Source organism: Homo sapiens, chromosome 4 (assembly GCF_000001405.40).
Source record: "Homo sapiens chromosome 4, GRCh38.p14 Primary Assembly".
Taxonomy (NCBI): Eukaryota; Metazoa; Chordata; class Mammalia; order Primates; family Hominidae; genus Homo; species Homo sapiens.
In genome coordinates this window covers 177825483-177841666 of record NC_000004.12, presented here as the reverse complement: position 1 = coordinate 177841666, position 16184 = coordinate 177825483, and the positions used below count along the sequence as shown (strand labels likewise).

At 37.3% G+C, this 16184-nt stretch overlaps 2 long non-coding RNA genes and 1 pseudogene across 2 annotated transcripts in view; 1 reads left to right on the top strand and 2 right to left on the bottom strand.

Moving 5' to 3' along the window:
* Window positions 1-16184, bottom strand: part of LINC01098 (long intergenic non-protein coding RNA 1098) — a 261994-nt gene that overhangs the window by 149084 nt on the left and 96726 nt on the right.
* LINC01099 (long intergenic non-protein coding RNA 1099) overlaps window positions 1-16184 on the top strand; it is a 95891-nt gene that overhangs the window by 66270 nt on the left and 13437 nt on the right. The gene's annotated exons all lie outside the window — the stretch shown is intronic.
* LOC124900914 (uncharacterized) lies at window positions 10232-10318 on the bottom strand (annotated as a pseudogene).

The following is a 16184-nucleotide window of genomic DNA, read 5'->3' as shown; positions in this document are numbered from 1 at the left end:
TGACAGGGAGAAAAATTAAAAGTTGAAAATAGGTTTCTCTTTATCTATGGCTAATCTCCCCAGAATAACAGACCATCTAAATGTTGTGTTCTGTGACAGCCTGGGTACAATTTTCAGAACATTTTTTTCTCATTGGAAATTAAGCTTCTGGGAAGCCATTTATCCTGAAAGCACTATTGTTCTCAGTTGCATTGCTTTTCTTCATTGTTGGGTACCTGTTTTTCCACGGTTGTTATGCACACATAACTTACTCCTTTTTAATTATTTTGGCCTTTTGTTGAGATCACAATGGGAAGATTCATTTAGAAGACTAGGGAAGAAAAAGGCTTTTTTTTTTTTCTTGCTCTGAATCATCAATTACAATACACTCAAAAAATTTTACTGACTTTCTATCATGAGCTTGTGCCCACCTGAGAGGAGACATTTTATTACTAGTTTTTTCCCCATTTAGTTTTTATATTGTGGTTCTCTGTCCTTTGATATAATGGCTACATTTATTTGTTTTTCTTTTTGTTGTTGTTGTTCTTTAGTTAGCTCTGTCATTAACCAGTCTATTATTTTTTCTCATTCCCACTGGGTTTCTCGTTATTGTTTTTAAGTCCACCCTCAAGAAACTGCTGTATCACCATACTCTTCTAATACTCTAAGAATTCTTCTTCATATGTATCTGCTCCTATTTTCTGCCTCGGTGGTTGTTCAGCATTAATTCAGGAGGATTCAGAGAAAAACAGGTATGTTTGTTCATGTTGTTGCTTAAGTGTATGCTATTGTAAACCACAGAGAAAACCCCACGTTTTAGCCATAAAAATCTGAAACTCCAAATTCTAGCGGTCATAGAAGGTCTGAACATCAACTAGAATTTCATGTCTGTTTAAAGCTTACCTAGATCGCCTATGGTTTTCTGGGAAAAGAAATTGTAACTAGCAGACTTACTTATTTCTATCAGCCCCTGATGCATTGTTCCTGCAAAGGACTGGCAGAAATCTGAGATTCCTTTTAGGTCTTGTTTTTTCATCACCTCCCTTTGAAACCTGGTGTTCATGCTGAACAGGCTTTATAGATCATAATTGGGATCATCCTTGTAATAATAATCATAGCAAGCACCATTATCAGTATCTAATCTTTATTACACTTACGATTCATGAAACTGTGAAGCACCTTAGAATAGAAATTAGATGTATTTTTTAAAATCAGTCATTCTCTATTTCTCTAGTCCACGTTTTTCTATTACAGTACCTTTCTTTCTTTTCCTCTTTTTCTTCAGTCTTTCTATCATTAAACCTAGGGTGACTTGACATCCAGGTATATCTAGAGCAGCCCTGGCTTACACCCTTTAGACAATTATAGTTATTCATAGTACTTCCTCTCATTTTCACAAGTTTTCCATTTAGGGGACATTATCGGTTACATCATTTAAAATCCCACAGCAGGTTCATCCTGCCTTTATGAAACTATGCTGAAGTGCTAGCAAACTCATAAGTCGCATTAAGACAGAGATACCCATGAAAGAAGATAAAGATGAGTGAAGCGGAGGGATATGAAAAAGATCACCACTGCTGCCCGTTTCCATTTTTAATATAAAAACATGGTTAAAAATATTCTATCTCTTACTGCTGCCTTCTCTTTCTTGTTAGCTGTTAGGATCGTATTTGATTACCTATAACAGAAAATTCAAAATGTAACTGGCTTAAATGCACAAGGGTTTACATCAAATAAAAAGTGGTCCAGATGAAAAATGTCCAAACTTGATACTGCAGCTTGCATTTCATCAAAGACCAACTCTTTATCTGCATAAGCATACTAGCATGTGACTTCCATCCTTGAGGTCATCCCAAGATCCAAAATGATTGCTGGGGCTCCAAACTTTATACCTACATTACCACCAAAAGGGAAAGAGGATGAAGAGTAACGAAACACATAATACAATTATTTCACAAACTACCTATTCTTCCTTTAATGTGACATTCCTGAATTCCAGCTTTACAACTTTTATTATCATAGTCAGAATTTAGTCACACCTAAGGAGAAAAGTTACACCTAAGGAAAAAGGGAGATTACAGTTAAGTTGTTTTTGGGTTTTTTGTTTCTTTGTTTGCATTCTCAATCTTACAGATGTCCTCTTAGCATGCAAAAGTGGTATGATAGATGTTGGGAAGAAACAAGTTGTATCTCTGCAACATCTTCTAACATACCACAGTATTCCAGAGTGTTTTCAGCACAGGGTCTCTGCCAGACTCTCTGGGCAAAGCACTCAACAGCTGTGAAACTTGTGAGAGTTATTTTCACCTTACTATGACCCAGCTACCTAAAGGGAGACTAAGATAACTTACTTCCAAGGGATGTTTTGAGGGTTAAGAGGTCATATACGGCCGGGCGTGGTGGCTCACGCCTGTAATCCCAGCACTTTGGGAGGCCAAGGCGGGCAGATCACAAGGTCAGGAGATTGAGACCATCCTGGCTAACACAGTGAAACCCTATCTCTAGTAAAAATACGAAAAATCAGCCGGGCGTGGTGGCAGGCACCTGTAGTCCCAGCTACTAGGGAGACTGAGGCAGGAGAATGGTGTGAACCCAGGAGGCGGAGGTTGCATTGCAGTGAGCTGAGATCGCGCCACTGCACTCCAGCCTGGGCGACAGAGCGAGACTCCGTCTCCAAAGAAAAAAAAGTCATATATAATGCCTGACATACACGGTGCATTCCATAAATATGGTCTACTTTTTATTATGATATGCTCACCATTTAACAAATACATTTTTACAGTCCCTTCGTAACTCCCACTGAATTACTCATTCAATAACATATCCCAGATACAATAGGTTTTCAGAAAACCTATTTTGAATTCAGAAGTCTACATCTAATTATGTGTTACATTTAGTAAAGACTTGTCCATTAAGTTATAGTCAATTCCCTTACATTGCCTCTAAATCTGAACACTTCACAACAAGGGAGATTAAGATGTTTCAAAATTTCTGCATGCAGTAAAGTTGGTGTCCAGGGGCATTTACTTCAAAACAAACTGGCCGGCTGTCTCCCAAAAGGTCTCGTAGGGTAAAATGGATCATGCTGGTGAGTATGCAAGGTTTGGCTCTCATCCATGCAGGCTCAGAAATCTTTTAATACACACTGCGAGGGAATTAGTCTCTCAGGTTGCCTTTCACTAACCAAATCCACAAGCCTCAATTTATAATGACAAATGTTATATAACCATAATAGAGACTGGAACTCTCTCAGATAACTAGTCTTAAACAGGAAAAATAATTTTCCACAGATTGGTATCTGTTGAACATTGAATTAAAACAACAACAAAACACTTAATGTTTAAAGCCAAAGGCATAGTTTTAAAATGGCAACAGAGTAGTCGATGTTGATGTTGTATTGTATTTCACTTCCTGGTTCCTGAACAGTACCTGAGTGTCCATGTGTTCTTTCCTTAGAACAAGTCCAAAGACTTGTTCTTTCCTTAGATGCTAAATGCATTCAATTAAGGTTCAAGAAAAGCGTTGCATGTTTATAAGCCATTCTGTCTTTTACTACATGTGACTGTCAAGTTATGCTTTGTATAACTTGACTTGTATAACTGGATGTAAAAAGTCTGCTTATCAAAGAGGACATGTCATTCCCTAGTTCATGGAGATCTTTCCCCGCAGTTTACAAACAAAACAACAACAAGCTTAAGGCATAATTATCCATTTTATGGATAAGAAACCAAGCCCTACTGAAATTTGCTAAAGTCCAAACAGGAATTAGTAAATGAAGTGGCATTAGGCGGTTGCGGTGGCTCACGCCTGTAATCCCAGCACTTTGAGAGGCTGAGGTGGGCGGATCACCTCACGTCAGGAGTTCGAGACCAGCTTGACAAACATGGAGAAACCCGTCTCTACTAAAAATACAAAATTAGCCTGGCGTGGTGACACATGCCTGTAATCCCAACTACTTGGGAGGCTGAGGCAGGAGAATCCCTTGAAAGCAGGAGGCGGAGGTTGCAGTGAGCCGAGGTTGTGCCATTGCACTCCAGCCTGGACAACAAAAGCAAAACTCTGCCTCAAAAAAATAAATAAATAAAAAAGGAAAAGAAGTGGCATTGAATCAGGTCTATCCAACTCCATGCCTTTTCTTTTATAACAGTGATTTTGCTGAAGATTCTTCTAAATCTTTTATTTCACTGTAGTTTATTGTTTAATATCTCCATGCCACATATCACCTAAAGTTTTGTCATTTCACATATATTCATTTGTCTGGAGGGAAACAGAAACATGAGGGCATGATTTGGCAAAAGCATTAAGTAAACTGAATGGATTATGCACCAAACACTCATAGACGCTTCACAGCAAAAAATATTCCCTGAGGATAGTTATCTTCATAACCATTACTCCTTGCTTCTCGCTTTACTGTCTGATTCAAGTAGCCTATTTGCCAGCAGGCCTTCTTGTTGTCTTTGCCGCAACAGCAGCTTTGCATTGTGGTGAGCCAAGTGGTTGCACTAAGATAGTGCAGTCCATCTTCATACAACAATAGTGGAATCAGGCATGATTGGAAATTATGGACAGTCCAATTTGTCACAGCTCAGTATAATAGTCCCAGACTAGTATTTAAGCAACAGGACTGACATAATCAAGATTCCACTTCTTGTGGGGCCAAGCAGGCAGAATTTACTGAATAAAATTAACAGATTTTGTGTCACATTTTACTCCATCATAATTGCATAGACTTTAAATATAGTCTGACATTTGGAAACATAATCTATGGGGTCAAATGTAAAAGCAAGTTCATAAGACCAAGGAGTATTTTAGATATAGAAAGTCCCTAAAAGAGAGGCTAACTCAGCTTTCTTAGCAAGATAGGACATAGTTTTCCAAACTTTATAATAAAAAATTGCTCATTTCTTTTTTAAACACAGTAAATAACAAGGAATTTACAAACACACAGAGTAAGCCATTCTTTTGGAAAAATATAATTGATATAATGTTCTTTATATTAAGGCAAAAATTCTTTAAAAAGCACTGAATAGCATATCTGTGTTCAGGCAATGATAAGTGCCTGAGTATTCTAACACAGTTAGGGTGTCACTAATACAGACTCCCTTCTCAAAAAATGTCTCTACCCCTCCCTCATGTGGCAGAATTTTAAGTCTCTTTACCTTCCCTGGACTCATTCCAGACTATCAAAGCCTTTCTAAAAATATGTTTGCAAAAGTTAAATACATTACTCCAGGTATTATCTGCCCTATATTCAGTATTCCTTACCATGAACACAGTATGTTTATTAAAAAAAAATAAGATAATTTTTTTTATTGGCTATCATGAGCTTAGAGTCAAATGGATCTCTGAAAAGAATGATAATATCTGACTGTTGTTGAGTGCTCACTCTGTTCCAGGTACTATCTTAGAATAGTTCTATGAACTGGGTACTGGTATGAGACTCATTGTACAGATGAGGAAGCTAAATCACAGAGTTAAAAGCAGCTCACTGAATGTAAACCAACTATTAAGTGACAGAAATAAATTTTAATTTAGGCAGTCCGTCTCTAGAGAACCAGCTATTAACTGTTACTGTAGACCAGTGGTTATCAAAAGCTCTAGACCAGCGGCATCATCTAGTACTTGGTGGAAATATTATTTGTTAGGCCCTACTCCAGATCTACTGTCTCATACTCTGGGGGGTAGGTTGTAGCAAACTGTATGTCAACAAGCCCATCAGGCAATTTTGGTGAATGCTAACCTTTGAGAATCACCTGTCTATGCCACATCCATATTGGTCTTTAAAAATTTAAGGCACACAGAATATTCAGCCAAGAATACTAGAAACAAGCCTTCTGAACGATGACAGGTAGTATACTTGTAAGCTGTAAACTAGAGAGGATCAGGAAGCCACACACAGGAATGCAGACAACAGATTTTTAAAGAGTAATTCACCTGCTATAAGTATAACATCGACACTTCTTTTGAAACACTGTGTCAACATGAAGAATTTATCTTTTGCTGTTAACATTCAATATCTTTGAAAAACATTTCAGCTTCTTAACAAAAGTGAAAGATTGAACCATTACCACCCCACATAACTGTAGATGCTAAAGCTTAGATGACTTGTCTATTTATTAGGATTTAATAGATTTATCTTTAATGATTATTTTCTCAGCGATCGTAAAACTCCAGTCTGTAATTCCATGACAGAATTCGTATCTCCAAAAACTCATGGACGGAAAATGTTTTACTTGTCACAGCATAGTAAAGATAATGAAATCTATGCATTTTTTAGAACTACTTGAAGAAATATCTCATTGAATCAATTCAAGATTATTAAAATCTCTTAGGTAAGGTATTACGGTACTTCTAAAAGACTATTGCTAAATCAATCACCAAGATTTGGGAGTTATAATTATTTTTATCATTTATATGAAATTATAACATATGATTATCAGTTCCAGGTATAGTTAAGTCACAACCATCACCAGCCAATTATAATTTATAGGTGCCATAGGTATAGAACCAGTCAAAATATATCTAGGTGCACTAATTGGTCCTATAATTTAATAAGACAGTCTCATCAAGACTTACATGCACCTGCCAAACTGCTGCCTGTGGCAAGAATAAAAGTCAACCAGCAATTCTTATTATCATATTTTTTTAGGATACTTGTTTTCTTAAGATTACTTAATCCAAAAATATCCCCAGAAAAGGGGAACATACTTTACTGCTTGGTTTTAAAGGTGGAAAAACATGCAGAATCAGAGTTCTATGTACATGTAAGATATGCCAATAATAATCCAATTATTTCCAATTATTCTCCAAAATGTAAATGGTGAGATTGCAGCTGTGGTTAATAAAAAGAACACTTTGTGTTGGAACCAGAAGACTTGGGTTGTTTACCACGTGTGTGTAACCTTGGGCAACTCATCCCAGCAGCTCGGCTTTACTGCCTTCCATGGAAATGACAACACTAATGCTTTCTTTACCACAGAAGATGTGGAGAAGGATTCGTTGAAATTTATACAGAAAAACTTATATAAAAGGTACAGCTCAGCTTCAATGAATGATTGTAAATTATTTTAATAAAACCATTATTTTTTCACCTCTCTTCCTAAGGATTCATTTTCATTCTCCCTTAAATTGGGAGGATATTTGCTTATTTTTCTTTTTGCTATTGCATACAATATAAAGAATAATCAGTTTACCAAAATAATAACTTTGATTTATATAGTGATTCTCTTTAATACTGTCTTACAAATAAGGTAAAAGAAAATTAATACTCAACCAAGGCATGTATATAAGCAGGTTTAAGTGAGAGAATATGTCTTTGATAGTAACAGTTTTAGGGATCCAAAGATCTAAAAGTATGTTGCTGATAAGGATTTGCAAGTAGGTATCAAATTGCATGGGCCAAAGTGTGTTTTATGATGAAGATATTTTCAATACAGAATTAAAAGCGGAAAAAAAGTCAATTTCCTTTTCTGTTATGAAATTGTGTTTTATCTATGTGTTTATATATAAAGATAATAAGAATAGTGAGAACAAATATAAATTTTTTATCATTTCATGATATCTCCATCAGTAGACCTTGCACTTAACTGCATTTCTACAATAGCAATATAAAAAAGTAAAATAAGCCTCCAGGTTGAATGGACTCTTATCTAGTTGATAAGTATCTTTATGCACCTGTCTTCTTGCAGGAGTCCTCCTAAACCACAGTTGGACTAAACAAGAAAGGAAATAATCAAATATACTTTATTCAAAAGCATCACAGAGCTCCAATCTTTCATTCTCCTCAAATCAAAATGTACCTCTCATCACATTTTTACATAGATATAGATAATAACCTTTCCTTTTATGACATTATCATTATCTGAAATTCTTTTTCTGAACATAAATTATGTAAATGGAAAAACTACTTCCAACAAAAAAAGAGTAACTCTCCTTAGGGAGCTGACAACATAAAGCAATGTTGTTTGTATTAAAAGTACAATTCTAGCTGAGGTTTTATTTTTTTAAATACCTAATAATCCAAATTATCACAAAGTTGAATTTACTCCCTGGTGGCATATTAGAAAGCTGTATTCACAAGGACACTAAATAAGTTACTATTAGGTAAGTTTCTACTCAGCATAGAGCCAAAAATCTGTTTTTAATCGACTTAATATTCTCTTGTGGCAGGAAAGAAAAAACATGATTGGAACATTTGAAGATTAAAAATTGTATCAGTTGTGTTATTTAATTTAAAAGAAGGTTACAATTTATATATCCATATTTTAAAGCTAATCATGTTACTAGCAATCCTTTATGGAGACATATTTGTCATAATAATTTTGAATCAGAATACTCACAAAAGTTTGTATTTTCCAGAAGTAGCAATAGAGTAGGGAAATAATGTTGAATGTATTTTGATGGAGACAGTCAAACATGAGGCTGCATAATTAGATGAAGACACCAACAAAAAACACAAAGACAACGTTTGCTGACTCAAGAGAAGTGGCCCTAAAGTAAAAGGAATTCAGCTTCATGATCAGGAAGTTATTTGTTGTACCGATTTTTTTTTATTCTTTTGGTAAAAATAATTATTTCAGGCATCTGACTAAAACTTTGGGGATGTAATAAGAGTCTCACTTGAGGCTCAAAGGTCATAGTATGGAGGATGTCAGTGAGGTTTATCTTCTGAAACACTAGTTGCTTTCAACATCCAACTGCCATTTCCAGGTTCCAGAATCACCATGTTACCTTCTGCCTTCCCAAGGCCTCTGTTTATCACTGAACTAATTAAGAACTCCTCAAAATCAGGAGGTCCATAAAATGTAGCGGTAAAGATCCCATGTTTGCCATAGATTTATGTTTCCATTATGCCCCTTATTCGTACTGGGAACTTTAAGAAACTAGTTAACGTGATTGAGTTTTTTTGTTAGTTTTGTTTTTATTCCCTCATCTGGCAGGTGATATCAAATGATCCCAAGTGAGGGTCCTGGAATACTAAAATATAGCCCTGTGACTTAGAGGCCCAGAGGAGTGAATTTCAGGAAGGAAAATATGGTCAACCATATCTAATTCTGAAAAGTGGTCAAGTAAAGTGAGTACCAAAAGGTACAGAGATCACTGAAGACATTAAGGGCATTATCAGTCTACCACTTCACAGAAGGGAGGGTAAAAAAAAAAATCAAAACTCTAGAATGAGATGAGTTGGGGAATACTCAATACGTGAAGTGCTAGAGATGGTGAATCTCAAAGGAACAAAAGCTTTAAAGTAGGATGAGGGAATTGAGAGCATTGAAGTAGCGAATAGAGGTAAAACTCATTGACAACTCCAGATCTAGACCCTGAGATAAACAGCATTTGGAGGAATAAGCAGTTCACGTGAAAGGACTACAGAGGAATTAGTTTCCTCAGGGAGAACTAGGATTGAGGTATGGCAAGGAGAGGGAGAACATCCTACAGTCAAGTTAATATGTAAGAGAGATTACTGAAGAATTAAAGCTCTGTAGAAAAGTTCAGGAGTGAGAGAAGGATGGAGATCTAGGTCAAGACAAGAAGCACAGAGCAAGCATTATGATCTTGACAGGTCCACAGAAGGTGGACGGAAAGATCTGAAGACATATCTTGGCCTGGACCATTATGTTGGAAACACAAGGCAGGCCCTGGGACTAATGAATGAGCTTTTTGTCTCACTTGACCTTGTTTTATGTCACATTGGGGCATGATATGGTTCCGCTGTGTCCCCACCCAAATCTCATCTTGAATTGAAGGTCCCATAATCCACACGTTTATGGGAGGGACCTCATGGGAGGTAATTGAATTATGGGGGTAGGTTTTTCCCATGCTGTTCTCATGATAGTGAAAAGTCTCACAAGATCTGATGGTTTTATAAGGGCATTCCCCTGCACATGCTCTCTTGCCTGCCACCATGTAAAATGTGCCTTTGCTCCTCCTTTGCCTCTGCCATGATTGTGAGGCCTCCTCAGCCAAGTGGAACTGTGAGTCCATTAAACCTCTTTTTCTTTATAAATTACCCACTCTCAGGTATTTCTTCATAGCAGTATGAAAGTGGACTAATATAGGGCATGTTCATATCAAATCATTATGAAGATCTTTGTGAAAAGGGGTTCTTGCCAAATATTATCTTTAGCCTTTATTTAGCTGCTGGGGTGTCCACTGCGGTACCCTAGAGATGTAACCGCATTTTGTTTTCTGTGTTGCTTTTAGCAAGAATGGTATCTTGGAGTTCTTCAGATTTTTAATAGTCTCTTTACCTCATCAGGCTGGTAACATGTCCAGGGGAGCCACATCTCACACATGTGTGTGAACACCCAATAATAACACTTACAAATTACAAAATGAACTTCTCAGCTTCCTTCTGTGAGAGTATCCTACCTGTGAAGCATAAACTTTTCTTAATCTCCCAGAAAGAAGTTGCATTGCTTTGATGTTTTTAAGGTTTAATTAATCCTTATCCCCAGGGAAGATCACGTTATTTTTGTTTCTCTAAGGTAGTTTTTCTCAAAATTTAGTCCTCAGACAATATGTATCAAATTCTTCTAGGAAACTCATTAAAATACACATCCCTGAGCTTCACCTTAGACTCCTTGAATCACAATTTCTTATTAAAAAAATCTGAAAATCTGCTTTTGTAATCCTCTGCATAACATTGGAGAAACAATTTTTAAAACTCTGAGTCCTTCTTAGAGACAATTATAATGAATCTAAGAAACAGAGTAGAAAGAACCCTGAGAGTGTGTATGTGTGATTCCCTGGGGTTCAGAAGCTTGTATTACAGCTTCTTGTATTACGAGCTTCTGAACCCCAGGGAATCACACATACACACTCTCAGTGTGTCGGGAATTTATTCCTTCCAGTGGGTTCTTGGTCTCGCTGACTTCAAGAATGAAGCCCCAGACCCTCACAGTGAGTGTTACAGTTCTTAAAGATGGTGTGTCTGGAATTTGTTCCTTCAGATGTTCAGATGTGTCCAGAGTTTCTTCCGTCTTGTGGGTTCATGGTCTCGCTGACTTCAGGAGCAAAGCCACAGACCTTTGCAGTGAGTGTTACAGCTCTTAAAGGTGGTGTCACCAGAGTTGTTTGTTCTTTCCAGTGGGTTCGTGGTCTCACCGACTTCAGTAATGAAGCTGCAGACCCTCGAAGTGAGTGTTACAGCTCGTAAAGGTAGTGCAGACCCAAAGAGTGAGCAGCAGCAAGATTTATTGTGAAGAGCTAAAGAACTAAGCTTCCACAGCATGGAAGGGGACCCCAGCTGGTTGCTGCTGCTGGCTCAGATGGCCAGCTTTTATTCCCTTATTTGGCCCTGCCCACATCCTGCTGATTGGTCCATTGTATGGAGTGCTGATTGGTCCATTTACAATCCTTTAGATAGACACAGAGTGCTGATTGGTGCGTTTTTACAGAGTGCTGATTGCTGCATTTACAATTCTTTAGCTAGACACAGAGTGCTGATTACTGCGTTTTTACAGAGTGCTGATTGGTGCGTTTACAATCCTTTAGCTAGACACAGAGTGCTGATTGGTGCGTTTTTACAGAGTGCAGATTGGTGTGTTTACAATCCTTTAGCTAGACAGAAAAGTTCTCCAAGTCCCCACTCGACCCAGGACCCATGAAGTCCAGCTGGCTTCTCCTCTCATCAGGACTGAAGACAGTGTACATGTGCGGGTTTTCAAATGGACAGATGTGGGATCATCTGGTTCTAGCATAGGATCACTAGAGAAGTAGGGCCTATTCACCACTTAATCTGTGGCACAAAAACTATGCCTGTAATCCCAGCACCTTGGGAGGCCAAGGTGGGTGGATCACTTGAGGTCAGGAGTTCAAGACCAACCTGGCCAACATGGTGAAACCCCTCTCTACTAAAAAAATACAAAAAAGTAGCCGGGTGTGGTGGCAAGTGCTTATAATCTCAGCTACTCAGGAGGCTGAGGCAGGAGAATTGATTTAACCCAGGAGGCAGAGGTTGCAGTGAGCTGAGATTAGACCACTGCACTCCAGCCTGGGTGACAGAGTGAGACCCTGTCTCAAAAAAAAAAAAAAAAAAGAAAGAAAGAAAAGAAAAAGAAAAAAAATACTTGGTACGCAGGACACCCTCAATAAATAGTCATTAAATAAATGGATTATTGTAACTGCATTCTCATTAAGATTCATTTTTCTTATGTTTTTCTCACCCTGACTACACCCCCAATTACAATGTACACATAGAAGCCTGCCTTTTTCGTTTTTTATCCTCAATAACTAATAATTTCATACACATGAAAATCATTAAGACTAGAAACACTTATAAATATTAAAATGTGGCAAAGGAAATGGAGATTTGCTAAGCATCAGGGAGGTTCTAGTTATTTGATTAACAGCTGAAATTTTCAAAAGTTTCTAATCATGAGAGCCATTTTAGTGGCTAAACATTTTAAAAATTAAAAGAAAATCTCTTCAAAGAAGAGATTTCTCTAAATTTTCTCTAAAAATTTAGAGAAAAATCTATTTAATCTGATTATACTCTTCACATAAAGAAATTGACACACAAAGAATATGACTTCTTGGCAAATATTTAATTTTGCTGACCTTCCTCTCAGCACTATTTCTTTCATCAATCCTGGTAGTGCCCACATCCTTGAGAGGGATCTGGCCAACACCCTGGCCCCTAAGTTTCTTGACTTATCTGCAGATAACTTTTTTCCTTCGGTCTTAACTCAGCCACCAAATGCCCTACTCATATCTTTAACAATAACTAAATTTTAGCATTATCAATAACTCAACTAGGTTTAAAAAAATCCCAATTTCGGGCATGCAATTATTGAATGAGTGCCTCTTATGTTTTCAGTTATGATAGGAACACAAACACCCAGACTTTTACTATTACAACTTTCCTGACATTAGTTCAGCCCTCCTTTACATTGTCCATACCTCCCTCCTGAAATTATTTTACTTCCTAAACCATTCAGATTTAATGGTCTAGTGGTCTAGTGAACACTGCAATTACTCCCTAACATGCAGCTTCAACTTTTTCTGCCTGTCTCCCCACCTATCATTTTCACCTGGCAGCACCCCAGGTCTGGTTAAATCCAGTTTTCTTTCTGCTTTGTGCCATCACCCATGCAGCCAAATGTGATTACAGAAAACCAAGGACTCACGCCCGCTTTTAATACAGATTTAAGTAAAAAAGTACCAAGTGAGCCTCCAGCACTACTCAGCAATCTTGTGCTAGTTTCTCTGATCAATTTTCTCTCCTCTTCTCCAAGATGATTATTTCATAGTTTTTCTTTCTTCCCAAACCTACCACACCTGTTCTCTCTTCTCTTTTTTTTTACTTTTTTTTGTATAATTTCACTGTATCTTCACTTATATTCTTTGCTTTCCTTGGAATAATATGGGATAGACTTTCTTGGTTCCTATCTAAATTCAACCCATCATTTTTACAGTCTTACCCCCTCCCATCTAAACAACTAATTTGTTCCTACAACTTTTTCTCCCATGTTATTAACTTTTCTTTCCTGCTAAAATACTATCAACATCTAAGTATCTCCCATGTAAAAAAAATATATTTGGCCTCCTAACTTGCTGCGGACGCTGCTGAAGCCTGATTTCATTTATGTTAATAGGAATACTCCTCAAAAAAAAAAAAAAAACAGTTGAAACCAGCAGTCTGCACGGCCTCACATCCCACTGTCCCCTTAACCCACCCCAACCAGATTTCCATAAGGATCATTCTACTAAAATGGACCTTGTCAAGCCCAGTGACCTTCATTAGGCAATCACTTGACACAGCCTCTACTCCTTCTTAGAGTATTTTCTACATGAATCTGGTTTTTTGCCTAAAATACAGGCTTCTCATTTCTAATCTTCTGGACTGACTCCTTCCCTTATTAGAATCTTTAAATGTCGAAATACTCTGAGGTTCAGTGCCTAGTCCTCTCTCTTTTCATTCCCAGTTTATCTCTTTGAATCCCACATTTAAAAATATCACTTCAATACATATTTGATGAATGAATGCATGAACAGATTAATACGAAATGATGGTAGAATTAATCAAAGAGCCACTTGTGTGTCTTTGCCGTAGGTTAAGATCTTAGAAGGAAAGGCTAGTTTAAGACGTTCTGGATGAATAATTCAGAGATAGGCGTTAGAAACTTAGGAGTCAAATGATCACATACATATAATCTTGATTCCCAAGTTTTAAATCATCTCTATCCATAGATGAAACTGTCTACTTGACATCTTTACTTGGAAGCATAGCAGACATCTCCAGCTTATCAAGTTTAAAATAGAACTTTGCTTCCATGTCTTTTCTTCACTATATAATATTAAAAAATAAAGTAAACCTGCCTCATCTGTGTACTTCCCCATCTTTTGTTAACTTAAAAATATGCAATTTATAAATTTAGAGAAGGAGAAGAGAAGATTTTATTTCTTATAAAGGGCTACAGCCAGCAGGGTGACCATGCTGACAGGCTGAGAAGCAGAGCCTCCAGCCAGAAACCACAGATACTTGGAGAGGGGGGAAAAGGGAACAGAAATTTATGCTGAGCAGAGTGGCCAAATATGCATATTCAGTAAGCTATAGGAGTCATGAATATTTATGAAAGGGAAAACGTATGCAAGTGCTTTTGAGCTTCATGCTTCATGTTCAAATAATGGTTATGATCTCAGGGTGAAGTTTTTGGCTCTCTGAAGTGAAAAGATGAAGCAGAGAACATCAGGACCCTTCCTATGCATGCTCCCTTTACTAGCCAGAAACAGTCCATGGTCAGTGGCTTCTTATCAGGCAAGAAGGGGGGAGCAGCAACCAGAGATTGGTTGAGATCAGTGGTGGAGTCTTTTGAAAGGGCCGGTTCCTATTGAGCTCTTAGGGAAGAAAGCCTAATCATGGGTAGCAAGGGGAGGATAGTCTGACCCCACCATGCTATCATGGCTGAGAACTCAGTTTTCAAGGATACTCTGGGGTCCCCTTCTCCAAAAAATGACTCATTCAGTCATTTGGGTGGGGCTTAGAATTTAATTTTAGTCTACAATAATAAAGACATTACCGTTTAATCAGGGAAAATGTCCATAAAATATTGTTTTCCCTTCCATCCCAAATTAAGTATTTCTGTTAGCTCTGAGCACTTTTCACAACTACAGCTTCGGTGTGACAACCTCTCACCTTAATCTGAAGCATTTTCAACTATCTTTTGGACCACTTACACAGACTCATTAGTCGACCTCCTCCTCAAATGCTTGCCGTCTCATCATCTGTTCTTCAGACAGTCACAAAGATCTCTTAAATATATAGACCACATCACTGTTCAGCTCAAAATCTTCAAAATATTCCCATCACTTGCAAAACAATGTCCAAAATTCTTAAAAGTTAGAGAAAGCTGTACTTGTTCTGAGTTCTGTCCACATTTTTTCTATGTATTGTAACAAACCCATGATCATTATCATTTCAGCCATACTGGCTTTTTCACTGTTCCCCAAACACACCAGGTTCATTGCTACCTTCTACTTTGCACACACGGCTTCTTCTGTTTGATACTACATTTCCTCCTTAATGTCACCTCTTCAGAGAAACATTCTAAGACTAGCCTATCTAAAACACTTTCCCATGGCTACGGTCCATTTATTACGCTGCTTTATATCATATTTAAATATCATTTTTATATCCCTACCTATATCAAAATTGGCTTCATTGTTATTACCTATTTTTTCATAGACTGTAAATTCAATAAAGGTAAGGACTTCTTCACAGCTATGTCCCCAGTGTCTAAATTAGGGCTTGGCATAGAGGATATTTTCAATCAATACTATCGAAAGGAACATTGACACAACTTGGGGTTTATTTCAGGCATCTTGAAAGAGTCCTAGGTGGCAAAATTTAAATATGTAGCCTGGCTAATCTTTAATTCTAAACCACTTAAGGTTAAGGCTTAGGGTTAGACTTAAGAACATGGATTGATCTCTTATATCAAGCTTGACACATTTCTGATACTGTAGATAAATAATCCTGAGGTGTTTAATATGTTTTATAGATCAATGTCTACTCTACAAATGAGCTATTGGCTGTTTATATAACCACGCCTTGTTAGGCATTAAATCAGTAACTTACAAACACTTTTGCCCCTATTCCACACACAAAAATATATTTTACCATTATGATATGGTAAAATGATATTTTGTCATTACAACACAATTTATGCATGAATTTGCATAAACACACATAATTGAAATGA